Source organism: Homo sapiens, chromosome 2 (assembly GCF_000001405.40).
Source record: "Homo sapiens chromosome 2, GRCh38.p14 Primary Assembly".
Taxonomy (NCBI): Eukaryota; Metazoa; Chordata; class Mammalia; order Primates; family Hominidae; genus Homo; species Homo sapiens.
The window spans coordinates 52253222-52275965 of NC_000002.12; the positions used below are offsets into that span (position 1 = coordinate 52253222).

The 22744-nt window shown below is 36.5% G+C and overlaps 1 long non-coding RNA gene across 1 annotated transcript in view, besides 1 other annotated feature; it reads left to right on the forward strand.

The window, feature by feature from the left end:
• Nucleotides 1–22744, forward strand: part of NRXN1-DT (NRXN1 divergent transcript) — a 1375317-nt gene that overhangs the window by 1220621 nt on the left and 131952 nt on the right. The window lies entirely within an intron of this gene.
• Nucleotides 240–798: an enhancer, noted in NCBI's record as "OCT4-NANOG hESC enhancer chr2:52480599-52481157 (GRCh37/hg19 assembly coordinates)". NCBI's record gives its function as "activates a minimal SCP1, AML or CMV promoter by ChIP-STARR-seq in naive H9 embryonic stem cells {active_cell/tissue: H9 hESC(naive)}" and the evidence as "EXISTENCE:reporter gene assay evidence [ECO:0000049][PMID:30033119]".

Consider the following 22744-nt stretch of genomic DNA (forward strand, 5'->3'; position numbering starts at 1 on the left):
AAAAAGTATAAAGTTATAGGGATTAAATAGGGTAGAATCTATGATAATGGCAAGGGGGCACTTACAATAATAGAATTCAAAGTAATCCTAGAAATCACAGATTCCAGCGGCAAAATATTAAATATAAAAATGAGCAGTTTTTCTGAAGAGATGAGAAAATTAGCTAATTTTTTAAAGTCCATGTTTCACAGGAAATAAGAAGAAAATAAAAACTGGAGACAGTATAAGAATCTATGAAAGCAAGGCTGGCAAAGAAAATGAAGTTTACAGAATTGGAAAGAAATGAAAAAATAACTACTGACGAGAACTCATCAGGGAATACTTTTTGAAAAATGTGAACATACATAAACCAGCAGGACCAAAGAAAATGGATCCTTCGGTGTTGAGGGAATTGACTAATGAACTTCCCAGAACAGTCACAATTGTAGCTGGAAAGTCATGGAGCACTACAGAGAGCCAGAAAATTGGAAAACAACAAGAAATGTGGCATCGTTTACTGAAAATGGGGAAGCATTGTTCTATCATGTACCTCCCAAGAAGCTGAATGCCGACACTTTAAAAAACAAAGTAGACTATTAAAGCTGCCCTACTTGTGTTCCTCCAGGGCAAGCACTTTAGTGTGTGTGGTATATGACTCAATTTGCAGGGCAAGGGGAAACTCCATAAATAATATTTGCTGAAGAGTATAATTGAGTCACATTCAACATAACCTACTTGGCAAATCCGTGTGCTTCTCCCACAAAATCATAGAGCAGATATATAACAGATATTAAAAGCTCCATGGTTAAACATTCTTGATATTGACAGTATAGAATAATTGAGCAAGAAAAAGGTTGATTTTTCAATGAAGATGGATAGAGGAAATGGATTTAATTTCATTTTTGCATAGAGCTCCCCCAGGATTAGATGGGAGACAGAACTGGATTTGAATCCGAGATCCCCCAGTTTATTTTTTGACTAAAGAAATTGATAGAATCTGAGTCGCAGGTGTTCATCTAGAAAATGTCTAACAATACAGATTATTTATGTATTTACACGTGAATTTTTTGGTAAAATAAATAAGACAGCCACCGTGAAAATTAAAATGTAATAACATGAAAACAAACCAATTACATAGAACAAAACCTGTGAAAATAGCAGGGGTTCAATACAATTTAGTTTCTTTCCCTATTTCGGATATAACATCCTTCAACTCTCTTTAGCACAGCAGTTAAATTTTGAAAATTAATGGATAGGAGATACCTAATTTCCTATATTCATATTCATTAGATTAAAACAAGGATCTCTACAGGAAAACAAATGTTTAGCCTCTTGGTAAAATATTACATAAACTTTGAATTTGAATACGTCTTTTATTCACCATAGAGAAACCTAAATTTCTAAATGTGGGGTTTTTGTTTTTTTGTTTTTTACTTCTTTTATACTATTGGACTTGAGAGAGATTAGAAGATTGTATTAGTCCGTTTTCATGCTCCTGATAAAGACATTGCCGAGACTGGGCCCAAAAAGAGGTTTAATTGGACTTACAGTTCTACATGGCTGGGGAGGCCTCAGAATCATGGTGGCAGGTGAAAGGCACTTCTTACATGGTGGTAGCAAGAGAAAATGAGAAGAAAGCAAAAGCAGAAACCCCTGATCAACCCATCAGATCTTCTGAGACTTATTCACTATCATGATAATGGCAGGGGAAAGACCAGTCCCCCCCATGATTCAATTACCTCCCCCTGGATCCCTCCCACAACATGTGAGAATTCTGGGAGATACAACTAAAGTTGAGATTTGGTCAGAACACAGCCAAATCATATCATTACGCCCCTGGCCCCTCCAAATCTCATGTCCTCATATTTCAAAACCAACCATGTCTTCCCAATAGTCCCACAAAGTCTTAACTCACTTCAGCATTAACCCCAAAGTCCACAGTCCAAAGTCTCATCTGAGACAAGGCAAGTCACTTCTGCCTATCAGCCTGGAAAATCAAAAGCAAGCTAGTTACTTCTTAGACACAATGGATGTATAGGCATTGGGTACAGCTATTCCAAACGGGAGACAATGGCCAAAACAAAGGGGTTACAGGGACCATGCAGGTCCAAAATCCAGAGGAGTAGTCACACTTTAAAGCTCCAAAATGATCTCCCTTAACTCCAGCTCTCAAATCCAGGTTTTGCTGATACAACAGGTAAGTTCCCATGGTCTTGGGCAGCTCTGCCCCTGTGGCTTTCCAGGATACAGCCTCCCCGCTGGCTGCTTTCATGGGCTGACATTGAGTGTCTGCAGTTTTTCCAGGTGCATGATTCAAACTTTTGGTGGATCTACTATTCTGGAGTCTGGAGGATAATAGCCCTCTTCTCACAGCTCCACTAGGCAGCACCCTACTAGGGACTCTCTGTGGGGGCTCCAGCCCCACGTTTCCCTTCTGCACAGCCCTAGCAGAGGTTCTCCATAAGGCCCCCACTCCTAAAGCAAACTTTTGCCTGGGCATCCAGGCATTTCCATACATTTTCTGAAATCTACGTGGAGGTTAACAAACCCCAATTCTTGACTTCTATGCACCCGCAGCCTCAACATCACATGAAAGCTGCCAAGGCTTGGGGCTTCCACCCTGTGAAGCCACAGCTTGAGCTGTACATTGGCCTCTTTCAGCCATGGCTGGAGCAGCTGGGACACAGGGCACCAAGTCCCTAGGCTGCAAACAGCATGGGGACCCTGGGCCCAGCCCACTAAACCACTTTTTCCTCCTGGGCCTCCAGGCCTGCAATGGGGCTCCTGGGCCATGGAGGTCCCTGACATGGCCTGGAGACATTTTCTCCGTGGTCTTGGAGATTAACATTAGGCTCCTTGCTACTTATGCAAATTTCTGCAGCTGGCTTTAATTTCTTCCCAGAAAATGGGTTTTTCTTTTCTATCACATAGCCAGACTGCAAATTTTCTGAACTTTTATGCTCTGTTTCCCTTTTGAAACTGAATGTCTTTAAAAGTACCCAAGTCACCTCTTGAATGCTTTGCTGCTTAGAAATTTCTTTTGCCAGATACCCTAAATCATCTATCTCAAGTTCAAAGTTCTACAGATCTCTAGGGCAGGGGCAAAATGCCACCAGTCTCTTTGCTAACACATAACAAGAGTCACCTTTGCGCCAGTTTGGGAACTGGAGTTGGGAACAAGTTCCTCATCTCCGTCTGAGACCACCTCAGCCTGGATTTTATTGTCCATATGGCTATCAGCATTTTGGGCAAAGCCATTCCACAAGTCTGTAGAAAATTCCAAACTTTCCCACATTTTCCTGCCTTCTTCTGAGCCCTTCAAACTGTTCCAACCTCTGCCTGTTACCCAGTTCCAAAGTCACTTCCACATTTTTGGGTATCTTTTCAGCAACGCCACACTCTACTGGTACCAATTTATTGTATTAGCCCATTTTCATGCTGCTGATAAAGACATAGCCGAGACCAGGAAGAAAAAGAAGTTTAATTGAAGGTACAGTGCTACATGACGGGGGAGGCCTCAGAAACATGGTGGGAGGTGAAAGGCACTTCTTACATGGCGATGGCAAGAGAAAATGAGAAGGAAGCAAAAGCCAAAACCCCTGATAAATCTATTAGATCTTGTAAGACTTATTCACTATCAGGAGAATAGCACAGGGAAGACCAGCCCCCATGATTCAATTACCTCCCCCTGGGTAATTCCCACAACATGTGGGAATGCTGGGAGATACAATTCAAGTTGAGATTTGGTGGGGATATGGCCAAACCATATCAAAGAATAATATATTTTCATGGAAGCAGAAAAACACAATGATGGGCTGTTTATTACTGCTAAATCATTAAAATTACTGTGCAACCTTTTTTATTCTCTGTAAAAAATGTGGCAACTTAAATTTGGTCTCTTTGAAATAACGTAAAATACTTACAATTAATTTATAGCATGGATGGACTATATAGAGATGATTGAAACTGGGTTATTTATGTGGCTCCCACACAGAAGTTGTGTTTACTATCCTCGTTTCTCCACAACTAACCTGAAATTTCTTGTTCTCTACTGTAATTTTCAATTAGTGTATTAGACACGGGAGATGGAAAGTTTGCATTTCTAATTATACAAATGTGTATTTTTTGTTGTGTTTGAGAATAAAACATTTCAACTCTCCAACAGAAATATGAATTAATATTTGGTCTTAATGAGAGCAAACCTCCAAAAGTGATTTAAAAACCCTCCCAATCAGCTATTGAGAATTGTAATAACCAATGATTGACTGTCCCACAGTTCTGACTGTGGCAGCCACAATCCTGTAACCGAGGCTAAAGGTCATCCAATGCCTAAACATTCCTGCTAGTGAAAACCTACCAATTTCTGATAAAATGTTTCCCAAATCCTACATATAAAAGATAAGTAATGTTCTTTGTTCAGAGATATTGTGTAATATCTCAGCACAACTCTCCATTGCTGAGCAAAAAATAAATAGGTTCTTATTTCCAACTTTGCATGGCAATTTCTTCCTTCCACATCTTTAGACAACAATCAGAAAAATCGAAATTACATCTCAAGTCATTTGTAAACAATTTCAATGCCTTTTGAGTCATATTTTGCTATATTCTATTTATATTAACAATTTCAGAGACTGAATCAAAGAAGACTATCTCTCCTGAGAGACACAGGCAATTTTATAACGTATTTCTTGCTTAAACCTCAAAGAAATATTTTGTAGACTACTGGTGAGTTCACATCTACTTACATTCAAAAGATAATCTATAATACAATAATTATAGTTGTTTACTATTTTATAAAATGGAACAGGAAGTTAATTTGTTCAGAAAGGAGTTTTATATGTATGGTACTGCTGCATTCTTGGGTTTATCACCTAACTCTACCTGTATGAAGGTAAATACCAGCATCTAATCTCATCTTCTTAAAACTGTATATGCTAAATAGCATCGTCAATTCTCCTAAGGTAATTATGAAAGCATTTGTCATTATTCAAGCTACTAGAATATCTACATCATAAGATTTATTGTTTACTCAGCTAATTTATATAGAAACTTTTATGCTGGTGGTTGCTCCACATGATAGAAAAGCAAACACAGCCCACCAAAAAAATTCCTTTATGACATAATTATGATATTCTATTAAACTGTCTTAGTGGCACTCTGAGTCCTGGAGAACAATTTACCAATCATTAAAATATTCTAAATCCAGACTGTTCTACTTCTGTCTATCACATTCTGAGATTCTACGTGTTCTCTTAAATTGTGGTGGTGGGGGAAACTGAGACATACTGGTTTTTATGAATGGACAAATTCAAGAAAGCCCATTTGAGTCTATTACCACCCATTCCAAATAAATCAAACAGTGTCAGTTAAGGAACTGCTCCTTTAATATAAGCAAGTATTCCTTATTTCAAAATTCTGAAGACTGTTTTTTAAATGAAATGCAGTGTAGCTCTTGTTAACAGAAGAAATATGATTCATTTAAATAATACTAGATAGGATTTTCTTTAGAAAGAAATAAAATTCTTTCTAAGAATTATGGTGAGCAACTCTTAAGGAAATGGGCCTCAGATCCCACTAGTACCATCTGCCCTATTTCCCTGCCTTCCCTAAAGAAACTAGAGCTCACTCCTCAACACTGTATCTGGGAAAACCTGGACTGCGGGAAATCTGTTCTTCTTCACCAGGCTTAGTGCAAACAGAGTTTGCAAAGCACAGAGACCAAGGGCCTGCACTGTATTCTCATGCAAAGAATAAAAGAATTTCCTGGGGGAAGAAGTTGAGACATTTCATTGAAGGGGCTGGCAGAGAGACCAAGGCAAAATTATAAGGGTTATAATCATATACATGTAAGTATAAAGGAAACAGCCTCAAAGGATATACTCCAAAGCCTTAAACATTATAAGATCACCGCCGGGCGCAGTGGCTCATGCCGGTAATCCCAGCACTTTGGGAGGCCGATGCAGGCACGTCACCTGAGATCAGGAGTTCGAGACTAGCCTGACCAACATGGAGAAACCCCATCTCTACTAAAAATACAAAATTAGCTGGGCACGGTGGCGCATGCCTGTAATCCCAGCTACTCGGGAGGTTGAGGCAGGAGAATCATTTGAAACCAGGAGCAGAGGGTGCAGTCAGCCAAGATTGCGCCATTGCACTCCAGCCCAGGCAACAAGAGCGAAACTCTGTCTTCAAAAAAAAAAAAAAAAAATTATAAGATTACTTTCTCTTCAGCATGTGCTGCCCCATCTAACTTGTGTTTCAAATAAAGTGAGATCGTTAGGAAAAAAATTAAATTTTTATATATCTGTAATATATTGATTTTGTGACCTTTCATCATTTGAGCTTTATTTTCTTTTTTGAAACATAAAATAGTTCAACTATCTGGAATATTTCTGTGAATGGCATAACAAAAAACTATAGACCCCCCACCCTTATTAAAAAATATAAAAGATATTACAGATAAAATTGAAGTCCACAACCATTCTTGCCCTGCCCATCACCAGACTCACCAACTCTCCATCTCTGAGGAGATATTACCATTCTAAAATTAAGGCATCATATTATGTCCATGATTTTTTACTTTTACTCTAACTATATGTAAGAGTCTGTATGTATGTGTGTGTCAACATATATTTGGATATGTTATATACATGATAATATGATAAATATACATATACACATAAGCAGTGTGTATGTTAATTTCTTATTTTGAAAAAATATATATATTTTATAAATCCTGTAACATCTTTTTTGTTAAGAAATATATTTAGAATCTACCCCTTTTAAACAGGTAGATCTTGTATATTAATTTTAACTGATGAACAATATTTCTTTGGATGAATGTATTATATTTTCTTATTCATTCACCTGCTATTAGATAACTATGCTATTTTCATTTTTTCCCTTTGACACAGTTCCATTAAATCCCTTAGATGTCTCCTTGTGAATATTTATGAGATGGAATTGTTGAGTGTTATATATAAACAGCACTAACCAGTCTCTATGACTTCATCAAAATATCTTTCGTTTTTGAGATAGAGCTTATAAAATCATTGTATGAATTTATATTTGTATCAAAGTGTAAAATACTTTTTATTTGCTCTCATTTTCAATAACACTACATATTGTCAGACTTCTTGATTTTTTACAAATTTTTTTGTTAAATTATAATTGTTTTGACTTGCATGTCTTAGATTACTAACAAAGTTGAGCAGCTTGTGAATTTAATATAAATTCTCATTTTGTCTTTCCTATTCACCTGATTTGTCTATTTTTCTAAAAAATAATTCTTCTTATCGATTAACAGAAGGCTTTATTTATGTTTTGAATGGTAATTTTGTCTTAAATATATAGTTTATTTATGTACTCTCATACAGGGTTTAACAGTGAGTTTTAGTCACCTAATATTTTGTTAGCAGGTTTAATTATAATCTAATAAAATATATTTATCTTTATTTAGGATTTGTACTTATTTCTGGTATTAAAAAATACATCTATATTCATCTCTCCAATAAGAGTATTTAATTTTAGATATATCGCTTTGCTGGAGGGGAATTTCACTTTTTATAGGTTCTAAATTACTTTACTTTTTATAAATGGTATATATCTTTCCCCCCAGCATCTTTAAAATGAAAAAATCATAGCTATTTTTAATGTTTCTTTTGCTATATTTAATATTGGGTTAATATCTCAGTGTATTTCTATTTTTTTTTACTACTATAAGGTTTCCTGCTCTATTATATGCCTAATTTTTTTAATGGAAGTGTATATTGTGTATGCTATGTTGTAATGGCTTTGGATGTTGTTAAATCTCTCTAAAGAGTTTTAAATTTTGTTAAGCAGTTTCCTTTGTTTGTTTTGTTAAGCAGTTCTTGGGTAATTTGGATTCATGCCTGGCAGATGGGTTAATTTTAGTTGCAGCCTTTCTGTTAGAGCATTGCAATATTGTAGATCTCAACTAAAAGTCCAAGCTTTGCTAGTTTTTCTGTTTTTTAGAAAAGTCTGTGCTTGTCTGTGCTCTCTGATCCTAAAAGTTATGCTCTGCTAGGCCTCTCTGACTTTCTTTGTATATGTGCTGATTGTGAGTTGGTCAAGAACTCGAGAATAGGGAGATTCCTCATGGGCACCCTATTTCTAACACCCTGTCCCTAAAGTCCCAGCTTCCTGGTAGCCCTAATTCCAGTCATTATTTTCTCTACCCAGAAAGATGGTTGCTCTCTACATAGGCTCAACTTCATGAAGCAACTTGAAAAAAATTCCTCAGAGAGAAGACTAAGGTGATTGTTGGGTTCAATTTATGGTGAATTCAAGGATTATAGGCCACTATTGATTGTGGTTCAATGGCTGCAAAGAACTGTGCTATATATTTTGACTAGATTTTATAAATTTTTACAGCAGGAAAGTGAATCCAACATCAGCTAAACAATTATGGTCAGAAATAATGGAAATATTAATTTCACATATATATTAAACTAAATATTTTATTGATACTTTTAATTTGTCAGTATGCATTAGTTTAACCAATATTATGTTAATTTATCCCATATTACTGTGTTTTCATTTCTTTTAGCAATGTTTTTATTGAAAGTCTAATGGGAACAAGTTCTCACAGTTTTATTTGTTTGCTTCCTAATGTGTTGTTTAAATTTTTTTAATTTAATTTTAGGTTTGAAGAATAATTCTATGAGGCATTGTGACACATACTGGCAGTTATTTTCTATCATTTAAAATGTTATTTCATTACTTTCTAGCTCACATTTTTTCATTTGAGTGTTCATATTTTCATCTTTATCTTACTCTTATACAGTATCCCATTTTTCTGACTGCTTTAAATCTTTTCTTATTATCTTTTGTATTCAAAGTCTGATTATGACATAACCTTCTGTACTTTCTTCCTAATAATCTTGTTCAAGACTCAGCAAGCTTCATAACTCTATGGCTGAAAGAGGATGTCTTCAAATATGTGTTTGTTTTCTTTCCAATAACCCTCTTTTCTCCTTTGGGGAACTTCTATTAAATACATGTTAATCTTCTCACCATGTCATGTCTTATAGGCTTTACTGAATTTTTCTCTTCTTTTTTTCCTTTTTTGTGTTTCATTTAAGATATATTTACTGGCCTACTTTCAGGGGATTTTTAAATATTAACACAGTCTACTGAATTCCTAATTTTTGTATTTTTATATTTTAAAAAATTTCATGAAATTAATTTAATTACCATATTTTTAGTTTTAGAATAGCTATTTGATTTTTTATCGGTTCTAACATTTTCTTATTTGTAGTAATTATAAATTTCTAGTCTGCCAGTGAAAAATTTGTATTGTCATTCATTAGTTTATGTCATTTTTCTCTTGATTTTGACGCATTTGGTCCTGTTTCTTGTAATGCCTAATGTGTAAATTATCAATCCATAGGCTCTCAGCTTCAAATGTGCCTTTCATTGTTCTGCTTGTGATACTGAAAAATTTCTTATTTGCCAGGTGGCATAATTTTAAGCTTTTTAAGTAGAGGGCATTAAAGGTATACAAACTTCTTTTGCGCGCGCGCGTGTGTGTGTGTGTGTGTGTGTGTGTGTGTGTGCGTGTCTCAGCCTGCCACCCAGGCTGGAATGGGTTGCAGTGGCGTGATCTCAGCTCACTGCAACCTCTGTCTCCCCAGCTCGAGCAACTCTTATGCCTCAGCCTCCTGAATAGCTGGGATTATAGTGCATGCCACGATGCCCGGCTAATTCTTGTTCTTTTACTACAAATGGGGTTTCACTATGTTGGCCAGGCTGATCTCGAGCTCCTGGCCTCAAGTGATCTGCCCACCTCAACCTCCCAAAGTTCTGGAATTACAGGCATGAGCCACTGTGCCTGGCCTGAAAACTGCTTACTATTTCCTCTTGAAAGGCTCCTGCAGCAAGTAGCAGCCATTAGTGCATGGAACATTTCCAAGGGCAACATTTCCTCAAACCCTCAAATTCCCAGAGAGAATCTTCCAAGTGTACTACTTGTGATAGGTGATTCCCAGTAAGCCTCATGTATGTATATAAATTTTTCCACAAAAAACTCCTCCCAGCACTCCATTGGTTTCTTTTGGACTCCAGATACAGCATCTCCCAACTGATGGCTTTGTTTTGCACTCCAGAGGACAGACTCCTAGCTACTTTCACAGCACAGAATTTTTATGTGGTTGGCCTTCCTGAACCACCAAAGGGATGAATTCCTAAAGATGTCTACCAGTGTGATAACTCAAAATGGCTCCACTGCTTAGTGGATCATAGCAGTGTACGTTCTCAGAAGTTCTAGAGATGAGGAGTACTCTTTCAGATTTCCTTCTTAAATTTGTGCTCTGCTTTATCCCTAAGGGTAGTGATTCTCTTTATAACTGATATCCCTCAATTTTTCAGAGTCTTCTTTCCCCTTGGTTGCTAATATACCATTACTATGATCCCCTATTTTGTTAACAACTTTTTATAATAATCTTTCCTCATTCAAATTGCTCTGCAGTTTATGAATCCTGATTGGCCCATAGTTAGGTCCTAAATCGGTACCAGGAGTGATCCTGTGGCAGGCCGGATCTCATAACAACTGTTTGAGTGCTGAGTGGTTAAATTCTAAAAGCTATTTAAGAGCCAATGCCCTTATACAAAGGCTAGAATGTAACAAAAGTCCACGAAGAGTTTTGCCTAGGCCTTTCCTGGACCTTAAAGCATGACAAAATAATGAAGGAATTTTTAACAAGAACTGTTTAGGATTAAACAAGTTTTATTGGGGGTTTGAAGAGACTCCCCAGGCCTCTACAAACAAGTTTATTGGGGGTCTGAAGGAACTCCTCAAAACTCCATGATTTATCAGGAGACAAGATAAGGGTAATCAACCCAGCACCTAGACCCATTTAGATTAAGTAAATTTACTGAGGCTCCAGAGGAAGGCCTTCAGGACGCTGACCTTAGTTATAGATTTAAGGAAGTTAATCACTTATGTCTTTAGATGAAGACACACTTAAATGCAGGCATATAGCTTAGAAGGTATAATAAGCTCTGGAAAACGTTGTAATTTTGAGCTGGTCTGGAGATTATTTCCAGGCCTTGTCCCTGTAACTGGTTACAGAAATAAAAACTCTCTTCCTCTCCAGTTCATCTGCATCTTGTTACTGGACCACGAGAAACAGCCCGACCTTCAGTTTGGTAGGGGAACAAAAGTTGGCGAGCCAGCCAGGAGAGAATAGGATAGTGCTGCATTCAGTGGCCAGCAGCTTGCCACTAGACAATCTTCAGGAGAATCCAGTAGCTGCTGGGTGAGATTTTCCCAGGGACCCTCCCAAGGGCTGTCCCATGTGCAAAATTACATGTCCCTTTCACTACTGGGAAGAAAGGAGATCAGAAGCAGGTGCACTTGAAGTGTGAGTTAACTGAATCCTATGCCGGGAGCCTATTGTTTCCCTCTCTGGGCTCATTAAGCCATTCGTGTGGTACTGCCAGGGTAGCAATAGGGCTGGCTCATACACCTGCTTTGCATTTCAGTTAAGGTCAGGTTTTGAGTTGCTTTTCAGTCTGTTCTGCCTGAGTGCACTCCCCCTTGTGTTTGTCTGAAATCCGTCTCCACTTGTTTGTGTTATCTGTCTTGTCCCTTTTGATACTGTGTAAACTTGAAAATGAGAAGTATTGGGTCCATTTCTGCTGAGAGACCTCTGGGAAGGAAAAAAGATTGTTTTAGGAGCTCAATGGTTAAAAGTCAGCTTAATTAAAAGCTAACATTTAAGATGTGTATGTGTGCATGTATGTGTGTGTTTGTATTTAAAAGGCCTTCATGTCTTGTTTTTGTTTATTTCTCTCCCAGGACTTTGTGTTTTGGAGCAAAAATATTTTTCTTCTCAGTTTACTGAATTCCATTTTCTTCATTAATAGCTGTTGAAACAGAAGTTGCCCCGGGGGTTTTAAGAAAAATTCCAGTTTACGTACTTAGAAATGTCTTGTTTGGCAAAAATGTTTTAAGTACACTGTAAAAGCATCACATGGTTTAGCCTTATAATAATTCTCCCTTTTAAGCAAAACAGAATTCAGTGCAGGTATCTTATAAAATGCTGTGACAGATTTCTGTAATAATATGTTTGATCTAGCATCCATCTTTAATCTACCTCTAGCACCACCAGACTTTTTATCTGTGTACCTTGAGATGTAAATTTTGCTATCTGATTTTTCACCTAAGAGTGGTTGCCTTCAATATGCAGATTTAAGCATATTTAGATGACAATTTCCAGGGTAAGAAACCAGCTTATCAAGAGTTTGCAAGTCTAAGAAAAAAATGACGTTTTATGAATCTATAAAATGTACTTCTATTGGCATGCCTAATACAGCTGTGTATTATGTGTCGTGTACACAGTATCTCACTACTGAAAAAATAAAAAGAGCTCTAATTAATTGGCTTAAAGAAAATAAAAGCACTTAAATCAAATACTTTAGCAGAAAAAAGAAAAGACTGGTCAAATGCTTTTCCAAGTTTACGTGACTTAAGTAAAATATTTAATAAATTAGCTAGCTTTAAAATTATTGGTAAAGTAATATTAGAAATGTCTTAAGAATTATAAGCATACATTTTTTTGTTTGCATTTATTGATTAAGCAATTTCATACTTATCCCAACCAAATACTATAAAGTATCAAAATTTGGCATAGAGGCTACAAAACTATAAACTCAGCCCAAAACAGAATAATCTTTGCTTATGTAACTTTTAATGAATAAAATATTAATATTGGTTTAATGAAAATAGCTACATCTTGAATTCGTTAGTAAAATACTATAAATTGTAATCATGTGGCTTGAGGCAATCCAGTCCATAGGCATGAAAAAAGTTTGTTCTGAGAAAGGACTGTTACCATCTTTGTTTCAAAGCTACACTATAAACTAAATTAATGAACAAGAATAGCTTGGAGGTTAGAAGCAAGTTCAGATCTTTTTCACTCTCTCGGTTATAATTTTGCAATGGTGGTTTCATCACTTTAAATAAAAACTATCACCTTTTTAATAAATTATCTAGATAAATAATTAAAATAAATAATTAGGTAAATGTAATGGGATAAATACAAACAAGCTTGTCATAATTTAGAATCTAAAGTTATATTAAACAATAGATATTTTATTATTTAGGTATTTTCCAATAAAAATATATTGAAGAAAAACATCCTTTCTAAAAATTGTGTCCTTTTTAAAGGGTAATTGATTTTTGTCTAATTCGAAGCTGATTTAAAGGTTATATATAAAACAAGGTAAAAGGAACGAGGAAATAAGAGGGATATAAAGTTATAAAAATAAAGAGGTATTTTTGGTTTAAAAAAAAAGCTTACAGAAAGATTTTATATAGGCAACGATCTTATATGGTAAATTCTTGTCCTAAAGTAAAATAACTTGTTGTTTAAAAAGAGGGAATGTTTAGGACAAGTCAGAAAGTCAAAGCATGTCAGATTGTTTAAGTTGTGAAATAATTACTAAAGGGGAATTTATGCAAGAAATGCTGTACAGCTTAAAAGTGATTAGGCCTCCTAAATGCTTCATAAAATGCTACTCCAACTCTTAATTGTACAACTTGCCTATTTACAGCTAAGTAAGACCTGGGACCTGTGAACTTAGATGCTGAAAAAAGTCAGACCTTATCTGCACTCCTTAATTTTACATAATTTAAATCCCAAACTTATTAAGGTTTTTACCAAAAGTAAAAGTTACCAAGAGTTGACAGTGTAATATGTATTTGAGACTACTGAAGAAACAGTTTTACATGCAAAGTGTGTAAGGAAAGTAGAATATACTTTTGGTTAAAAGATTATAAGAAGGCATGGGAATGTGTTTTTTTTTAATTTTTTTTTGCCTAAGTTAAAAGCTATAAGGATTATTTTAAGTTACAAAGAATAAAGCTGAAGGTTTAAGCAAGTTGTGGAAGATTGATTGTAAAGAAAATTCTGTGTGTAAACATATTGGCTAAAGTTAAAGGGGTATTATTCAGTTTTTCTGTAAATTAAACATTGAAATAAAAGCACAACAGGTTTCTCTTACAGCACTAATCTGCTCTTCAACAAAAATTATAAAGGTATAAAGGTTTATGACAATCGTAAGTTATGGTCAAACATTAAAATTGGATAAATATGTCTATAAGGCTTTATTAAGAATTAGGTTTAACATCAATAGTACACTAATATAAAGATGAAATTTGGCTTATTTGGTACAAAAGTCATACAAGAAACACTGTCAAATATAAAACTGGGTTTGGCTGGGCATGGTGGCTCACACCTGTAATTCCCGCACTTTGGGAGACTGAGGAGGGCAGACCATGAGGTCAGGAGTTCAAGACCAGCCTTGCCAACATGGTGAAACCCCGTCTCTACTAAAAATACAAAAATTAGCCGGGCAGTAGTGGTGCGCACCTGTAACCCCAGCTACTCAGGAGGCTGAGGCAGGAGAATCACTTGAACCCAGGAGGCAGAGGTTGTAGTGAGCTGAGATCATGCCACTGTACTCCAGACTGGGCAACAGAGTGAGATCCTGCCCCTGACAAAAAATAATAATAAAATGGGGGGGTTTGGCTTTCTTTGGGTTACAGTTGTATAAATATATTATTAGTATATGTTCTAAAATTATGGACAACTTCTATAATTCTGATATATCTTAGTTACATTATCAGTAATCATTATAATTGTTACATTAAATAATTGTGTGCCACAGAGGTAACAGATTTCTTTGTCAATTGTGTCTGATTTGTTTCCTTTGTTTGAATATCTGTGGTAACATCACCTGGGACAGATGACTACCCTATCCTCCATTTAACTCACCAATTTAATCTTTCAGATCTCACAGAATGACTGTGAGCTATTCAGTATTTAATCTGACAATGACTTCAATTGCAACTACTCTTCCAGATATAGCATCCTTACTGGAACAAATCAAGATGGCTCCTAGAATTTAGTGTGTAGCTGTTCACATAGTTAATGCCTTTTCCTCCTATACCATTGTTCAAGGACTATTGAAAGCAATTTGTTTTTATCTGGTGAGACCAAGAACAGACTTTCAAAGTCTTGCCCCTTGACTGTGTCAATTCTCTTGTTCTATGCCATAATATAGTCAACAGTGGTCTTGATTTTGTCATTCCATAAAACATCATACAGGTGCTCTACATTAACCATATTACACCGATTGATTTTTGATGAGCAGGAAGTAACAAGTATTGTAAATTGTTCACTAAGACATGCAGATTTGAGAGTGCATAATAAATCATACAAAAATTTAGGATACCACCATCTCAGTGAAGTGTTCCGCAACCTCACATCATTGTCCCCCATCTGAAGGTTTAGTGATCTAGAGCTTCTGAATATATACCTTACACTGTAAATGTTAAACTTCTTCTCTTTATAGCACCTACCATAAAAACATGCAAACATTTGGATTTTGGAAACAACATATACCACATTTGAATATGATACTTAGATCAACACAGAGTCACATAAACAATCATCAGTTTCAAGTAAGGACAAGAGCAACAAGAGACTCAGAAATAAGTTCAGACCACACTTCAAACCACTCTACCATTTGGGTCTTACAATCCAGAAGATTCAAATGATAATTAAAGTGTCTTTCAGCTAAACTGAAATATTATATTAAACTAGTGGACAGCAAAAATAAGAGAATCTATGACTAAGCAGTAGATCAGGCATGTCCAGATGGTACACTTAATATAAACAAGAAGGTAATTTGGACCCTTTTGATATCAAATCTTTGGCATTTCCTCCTCTTCCTCAATCTATGTGTCCAGAGGCTTTTATGGTTTGCGTGTTCCCTAATACCCATTGACTAAGGAAGAAAAAGCTCAATCCTGGCTTAGAGATAGCTCTATGTGACATGCACATATTAGTCAAAAATGTATAGGTAAGGTGTCATAGACCCACTCAGAAGTAATTCTGAACAAGTGTGATATAAAATATTCTAAACAGACAAAACTTCAAGCAGTACATTGACATTTGATTGCTCACTTTGTTTGGTGTCAGAGATATTCAGAAGCGCGAATCTGCACTAATTCATGGGGAGTTATTAATTGGTTGGCTGGATGGTCAGAGACTTGGAAAATAGCAGAAGTTAAGGACTGGTGATCAAGAAATTTGTGGAAGAGGTATGGATGGACCTTTCAGAATTGGCACAGACTGAAGAAATTTGATTTCCATGTGAATGTCTACAAAAAGTATTCCCTGTAGAGTAGGCTGTTCATAATCAGAAGGACAAAAATGACACACTCTGTGAGTATCAAAAGGCTTTTCCCCAGCCACCCTATTGCTTGGAAAATAAATCTGTGAACAAAGTAGCCATGCTGGCAGAAATATAAGCTATTTATGGGCTCAAAACAACGTATAGGCGTGCCTAAGAGACACTGCAAGTTTGATTCTGAAGGACCACAATAAAGTGAATTTCACAATAAAGCATGACACACAATTTTTTTGGTTTCCCAGAACACATAAAACTTATGTTTAGAGTATACTGTAGTCTATTAAGTGTGCAAAGGTGTTTTGTCTAAAAACACAATGTACATACCTTAGTTAAAAATACCTTAAGACTAGGTGCAGTGGTTCACATCTGTAATCCAAACATTTCTGGAGGCTGAGGCAGAGGAATTGCTTGAGCCCAGGAGATCAAGACCACATGCCTGTGGTCCCAGCTACTCAGGAAGCTGACGTGGGCGGATCTCTTGAGGCCAGGAGGTCAAGGCTGCAGTGAGCTGTTTTTGTACCACTGCACTCCAGCCTGCAAAACAGAGAAAGATCCTGTCTCAATAAAAATAAAAATACTTTATTGCTAAAACATGCTAGCAACCTCTACAGCCTTCAATAAGTCATAATCTTTTTGTTGGTGGGGAGTTTTGCTTCAATGTGCATGACTGCTGACTGATCAGGGTGGTGGTTGCTGAAGGATGCGGTGGCTGTAGTTATTGTTTAAAATAAGGTGGATATGAAGTTTGCTATATCTACTGACTTCTTTTCACAAAATATTGCTCTGTAGCATGTGATGCTGTATGATAGCATTTTGCTGAAGGTAAAACTTCTTTCAAAACTAAGGTCAGTCTTCTTGAAGGCCTGCCAAGGTTATGTAATAAACTTTGTCAACTAAGTATGTGTAACTCAGTTTTGTAATAGTTCAGATATTTTGCTATAATTTCAGCAATGTTCACAACATCTTCACCAGGTGTAGATTCCATCTCAAGAAATCACTTTCTTTGCTCATCCATAAGAAACACCTTCTCTTCCACTGAAATTTTATCAGTCCCATCTTCAGGTCCCACTTCTAATTCTAGTTCTCTTGCTATTTTTACCATATCTGCAGTCACTTGTCCACTAAAGTTTTGAGCTCGTAAAAGTCATCTGTGAGGTTGAAACCAACTTCTTCCAAACTCCTGATGATGTTGATTTTTTGACCTCCTTCCATGGATCATGAATATTCTTACAGGCATGTAGAACAGTGAATCTTTTCCAGAAAGTTCTCAGTTGATTTTGCCCAGATTCATTAGAGAAATCACTGTCTATGGCAGCTATAGTCTTATGAAATGTATTTCTTAAATAATAAGACTTGAAATTGAAATTTGAAATTATTTCTTGTTCCATGGGCTACCAAATTTACATTGTGCTAACAAGCATGAAAGCAACATTAATCTCCTTGAATGAACATCTCCATCAGAGCTCTTGGGCAACTGGGTACATTGCCAATTGGCAGTAATATTTAAAAAATTTTTTTTTTCTGAACAGTAGGTCTCAACAGTGTCCTTAAAATATTCATTTTACCATGCTGTAAACAGATGTACTGTCATCCAGGTTTTGCTCTTCCATTTATAAAGGTTTAACGTAATTCTTAAGGACCCTAGGATTTTCAGAATGGCAAATAAGCACTGGCCTTACTAAAATCACCAGTTGCATTAGCTCCCAAAGACAGAGTTAACTTGTCTTTGAAGTACTGAAGCCAAACATTGACTTATCCTCTCTAGCTATGAAAGCCCTAGAAGGTATCTTTTTCCAATTTAGGGCTGTATCATCTATGTTGAAAATCTGTTGTTTAGTATAGCCATCTTCAGCAATGATATTAGCTAGATCTTCTGGATAACTTGCTGTAGCTTCTACATCATTGCTTGCTGCTTCACCTTGCACTTTTATGTCATGGTGCGTAAAATCTCATGAACCAATCTCTTCTAGCTTCAGGCTTTTCTTTTACACCCTTCTGACCTCTGTCAGCTTCACAGAATTGAAGAGAGGATTAGGGCCTTGCTCTGAATTAGGATTTAGTTTACAGAAATGTTGTGGCTGGTTTGATCTTCTATCTAGACAACTAAAACTTTCTTCCTATTAGCAATAAGACTGTTGTATTTTTTTTATTATCTGTGTGCTCACTGGAATAACACTTTTAATTTTCTTCAAGAACTTTTCTTTTGCATTCTACATCTTGGCTAATTGTTTGAGATAAGTGGCCTAGCTTTCAACCTATTTTGGCTTTCAACATACCTTCCTCACCCTCACTAAACTTAATTATTTCTAGTTTTTAACTTAAAGTGACAGATGTGGGACACTTCCTTTCTCTTTAACACATAGAGGTCATTGTAGATTTATTAACTGGCTTAATTTCAGTATTCTCATGTCTCATGAAATAGTGAGGTCCCAGAAGAAGGAGAGACATGGGCAAACAGTGGGTTGGTGGAGCAGACAGAACACACAGAACATTTATTAAGTTTCCCAGGTTATATGGGTGTGGTTTGTAGAACTCCAAAAGAATTACAACAGTTAACATCAAAGGTCACAGTGGATCACCACGTGTCTAGGCAATGTGGTGAGACCCCATCTCCACCAAAATAATTAAAAATTGGCCAGATATGGTAGCGTGTGCTTGTATTCTCAGCTACTCAGGTGGCTGAGGTGGGAGGACTACTGGAGCCCAGGACTTCAAGGCCACATGCAGTGACCTGTGAATGTGATCGCGATTGCACCACTGCACTCCAGCCTGGGACACAGAAGGAGACCTTGTCTCAAAAATATATATATCACTGATCAAAGATTACCTTAATGAATAACAAAAAAAAAAAAACAGTTTGAAATATTTTGAGAAATACTATAAGGTGATACAGAGACATGAAGTGAGCATATGTTGTTTGAAAAATAGCAGCTACGTATGTGATTGATGCAGGTTGCCACAAACCTTCAACTTGTGAAAAAAGAAAGAAGCAATATCTGCAAAGCACAATAAAGTAAAGCACAATAAAATGAGGCATATCTGTATACCTGTATTTTCTTTTAACCAAGAGTGGCCTGGCTAATTATAACGCTGAGTGTCTAATTTTCCAATAGTTGAGGGGAACACTGAGCCCTAAATTTGTCACCACTGCTTGGATGTAAAAACCAGCAGCCTCATGGCAATTACATTACATTAGACTTATTTCATCAAGGAATGAGAAGATATTCATCCTCACTGTTATAGACACATATTCTGGATATGGATTTTTTTCTTCCCTGCCTGTAACATTTCTGGTAGAAGAACCACCATCTACAGAAGCAAAACTCAAAGAATTACAACAGATATTTAAAAGAGGGTTGAGTGGTATACACCAGGCTATGATTATATCCAAATTTGGACTGTTATGAGACATGTCTGTTATTTTTGGGTTCTACTACAGTTTGCATTGAAATCTCTCTAAAAGTTATTTTCAGAATTGAGTACAAAAAGTATTTTTTACATGTACTTTATAATCTGAGATTACCACTATTAAATTTACATAAACTATGTGCTATGATTTATGAATGATGCCATTTGGTGACTATATTAGTACAGTATCTGGCCTCAGATTTTCTTTTTTTGTTTGTTTGTTTTTGAGACAAGGTCTCCCTGTGTCACCCAGGCTGAGTGCAGTGGTATGATCACAGCTCACTACAGCCTCAACCTCCTGGGCTCAACGGATTCTCCCACCTTAGCCACCCTAGTAGCTGGTACTACAGGTATGCACTACCATGCCCAGCTAATTTTTGTATTTTTTTGTAGAGACAGGTTTCACCATGTTGCCCAGGATCCCTTGAACTCCTGGCTCAAGTGATCCACCTGCCTTGGCCTCCTAAAGTTCTGGGATTACAGGTAGGAGCCACCACGCCTGCTCAAATTTTTAAATTTTTAAAAATTACATTATTATTTCCACATTTGTCATTTTAGTCTTCTCCCTCTCTATAAATGTCAGGTTTTTCTTTTTGTTGCTCAAGCTAAGTTCATCATTACTAGGCTCCCTCTTTGCTTAGTTTGTACCTCCTAGGTTTTCTGAGGCTGAGAAGCTCATAATAAATAGTTAAGTTTTCTTTAGATCTAAATAAAAGCATTTTGACAGATGTCTTAGGTATTCAGTATCCCATTTCTCTTTTGTAGATTAACTGGTATAGTTTTCTCCTCTGTCTTTGTTTGTTAAACTGGATTCATGGGAAAAATAAGACTCCTATTAACTTATATAATTCAAATTTTTATTCTATTAGTTGTTTTATCTTAAAGTAATACAAAAAGAGGGAATCCTCCCTAACTCATTTTATGAGGCCAGCATCATCCTGATACCAAAGCCTAGCAGAGACATAACAAAAAAAGAGAATTTTAGACCAATATCCCTAATTAACAACGATGCAAAAATCCTCAATAAAATAATGGCAAACCGAATCCAGCAGCACATCAAAAAGCCTATCCACCATGATCAAGTGGGCTTCATCCCTGGGATGCAAGGCTGGTTCAACATATGCAAATTAATAAACATAATCCATCATATAAACAGAACCAAAGACAAAAACCACATGATTATCTCAATAGATGCAGAAAAGGCCTACGACAAAATTCAACAGCCCTTCATACTAACAACTCTCAATAAATTAGGTATTGATGGGACATATCTTAAAATAATAAGGGCTATTTATGACAAACCCACAGCCAAGCTACCAATGACTTTCTTCACAGAATTGGAAAAAACCACTTTAAAGTTCATAAGGAACCAAAAAAGAGCCCGCATTGCCAAGTCAATCCTAAGCCAAAAGAACAAAGCTAGAGGCATCACACTACCTGACTTCAACCTATACTACAAGGCTACAGTAACCAAAACAGCATAGTACTGGTACCAAAACAGAGATATAGACCAATGGAACAGAACAGAGCCCTCAGAAATAATATCACACATCTACAGCCATCTGATCTTTGACAACCCTGACAAAAACAAGAAATCGGGAAAGGATTCCCTATTTAATAAATGGTGCTGGGAAAACTGGCTAGCCATATGTAGAAAGCTGAAACTGGATCCTTTCCTTACACCTTATACAAAAATCAATTCAAGATGGATTAAAGACTTAAATGTCAGACCTAAAACCGTAAAAACCCTAGAAGAAAACCTAGGCAATACCATTCAGGACACAGGCATGGGCAAGGACTCCATGACTGAAACACCAAAAGCAATGGCAACAAAAGCCAAAATTGACAAATGGGATCTAATTAAACTAAACAGCTTCTGCACAGCAAAAGAAACTACTATCAGAGTGAACAGGCAACCTACAGAATGGGAGAAAATTCTTGCAATCTACTCATCTGACAAAGGGCTAATATCCAGAATCTACAAAGAACTTAAACAAATTTACAAGACAAAATCAAACAACTGCATCAAAAAGTGGGTGAAGGATATGAACAGACACTTCTCAAAAGAAGACATTTATGCAGCCAAAAGACACATGAAAAAATGCTCATCGTCACTGGCCATCAGAGAAATGCAAATCAAAACCACAATGAGATACCATCTCACACCAGTTAGAATGGCGATCATTAAAAAGTCAGGAAACGACAGATGCTGGAGAGGATGTGGAGAAACAGGAACACTTTTACACTGTTGGTGGGACTGTAAACTAGTTCAACCATTGTGGAAGTCAGTGTGGCCATTCCTCAGGGATCTAGAACTAGAAATACCATTTGACCCAGCCATCCCATTACTGAGTATATACCCAAAGGATTATAAATCATGCTGCTATAAAGACACATGCACAGGTATGTTTATTGTGGCACTATTCACAATAGCAAAGACTTGGAACCAAGCCAAATGTCCAACAATGATAGACTGGATTAAGAAAAGTGGCAATATACACCATGGAATACCATGCAGCCATAAAAAAGGATGAGTTCATGTCCTTTGTAGGGACATGGATGAAGCTGGAAACCATCATTGTGAGCCAACTATCGCAAGGACAGAAAACCAAACACCACATGTTCTCACTCATAGGTGGGAATTGAACAATGAGAACACCTGGACACAGGATGGGGAACATCACACACCGGGGCCTGTCATGGAGTTGGGGGAGGGGTGAGGGATAGCATTAGGAGATCTACCTAATGTAAACGATGAGTTAATGGGTCATTTACCACCATGGCACATGTATACATATGTAACAAACGTGCACGTTGTGCACGTGTACCCTAGAACTTAAAGTATAATAATAAAAAAAGTTATATTTTTGTAACGTGTTACTTCATTTTTTGATATTTTTCTCTGCCTAACACTGCCATCCTTCATGAACACACACTCACATACACATTCATAAGTCACAGGCAATTTACCCCTGCAAATAACGTGTGTGTGTGTGTGTATATATATATATAATTTCAAGTAAGGTTAGTATTATCAAAACTATTTATACAAAGCAATATATCCATTCATTATTTCATGACTGAACATATCAAAATTGTTTAGTCCAGGAAAATAATAATTTTCTATTATCCA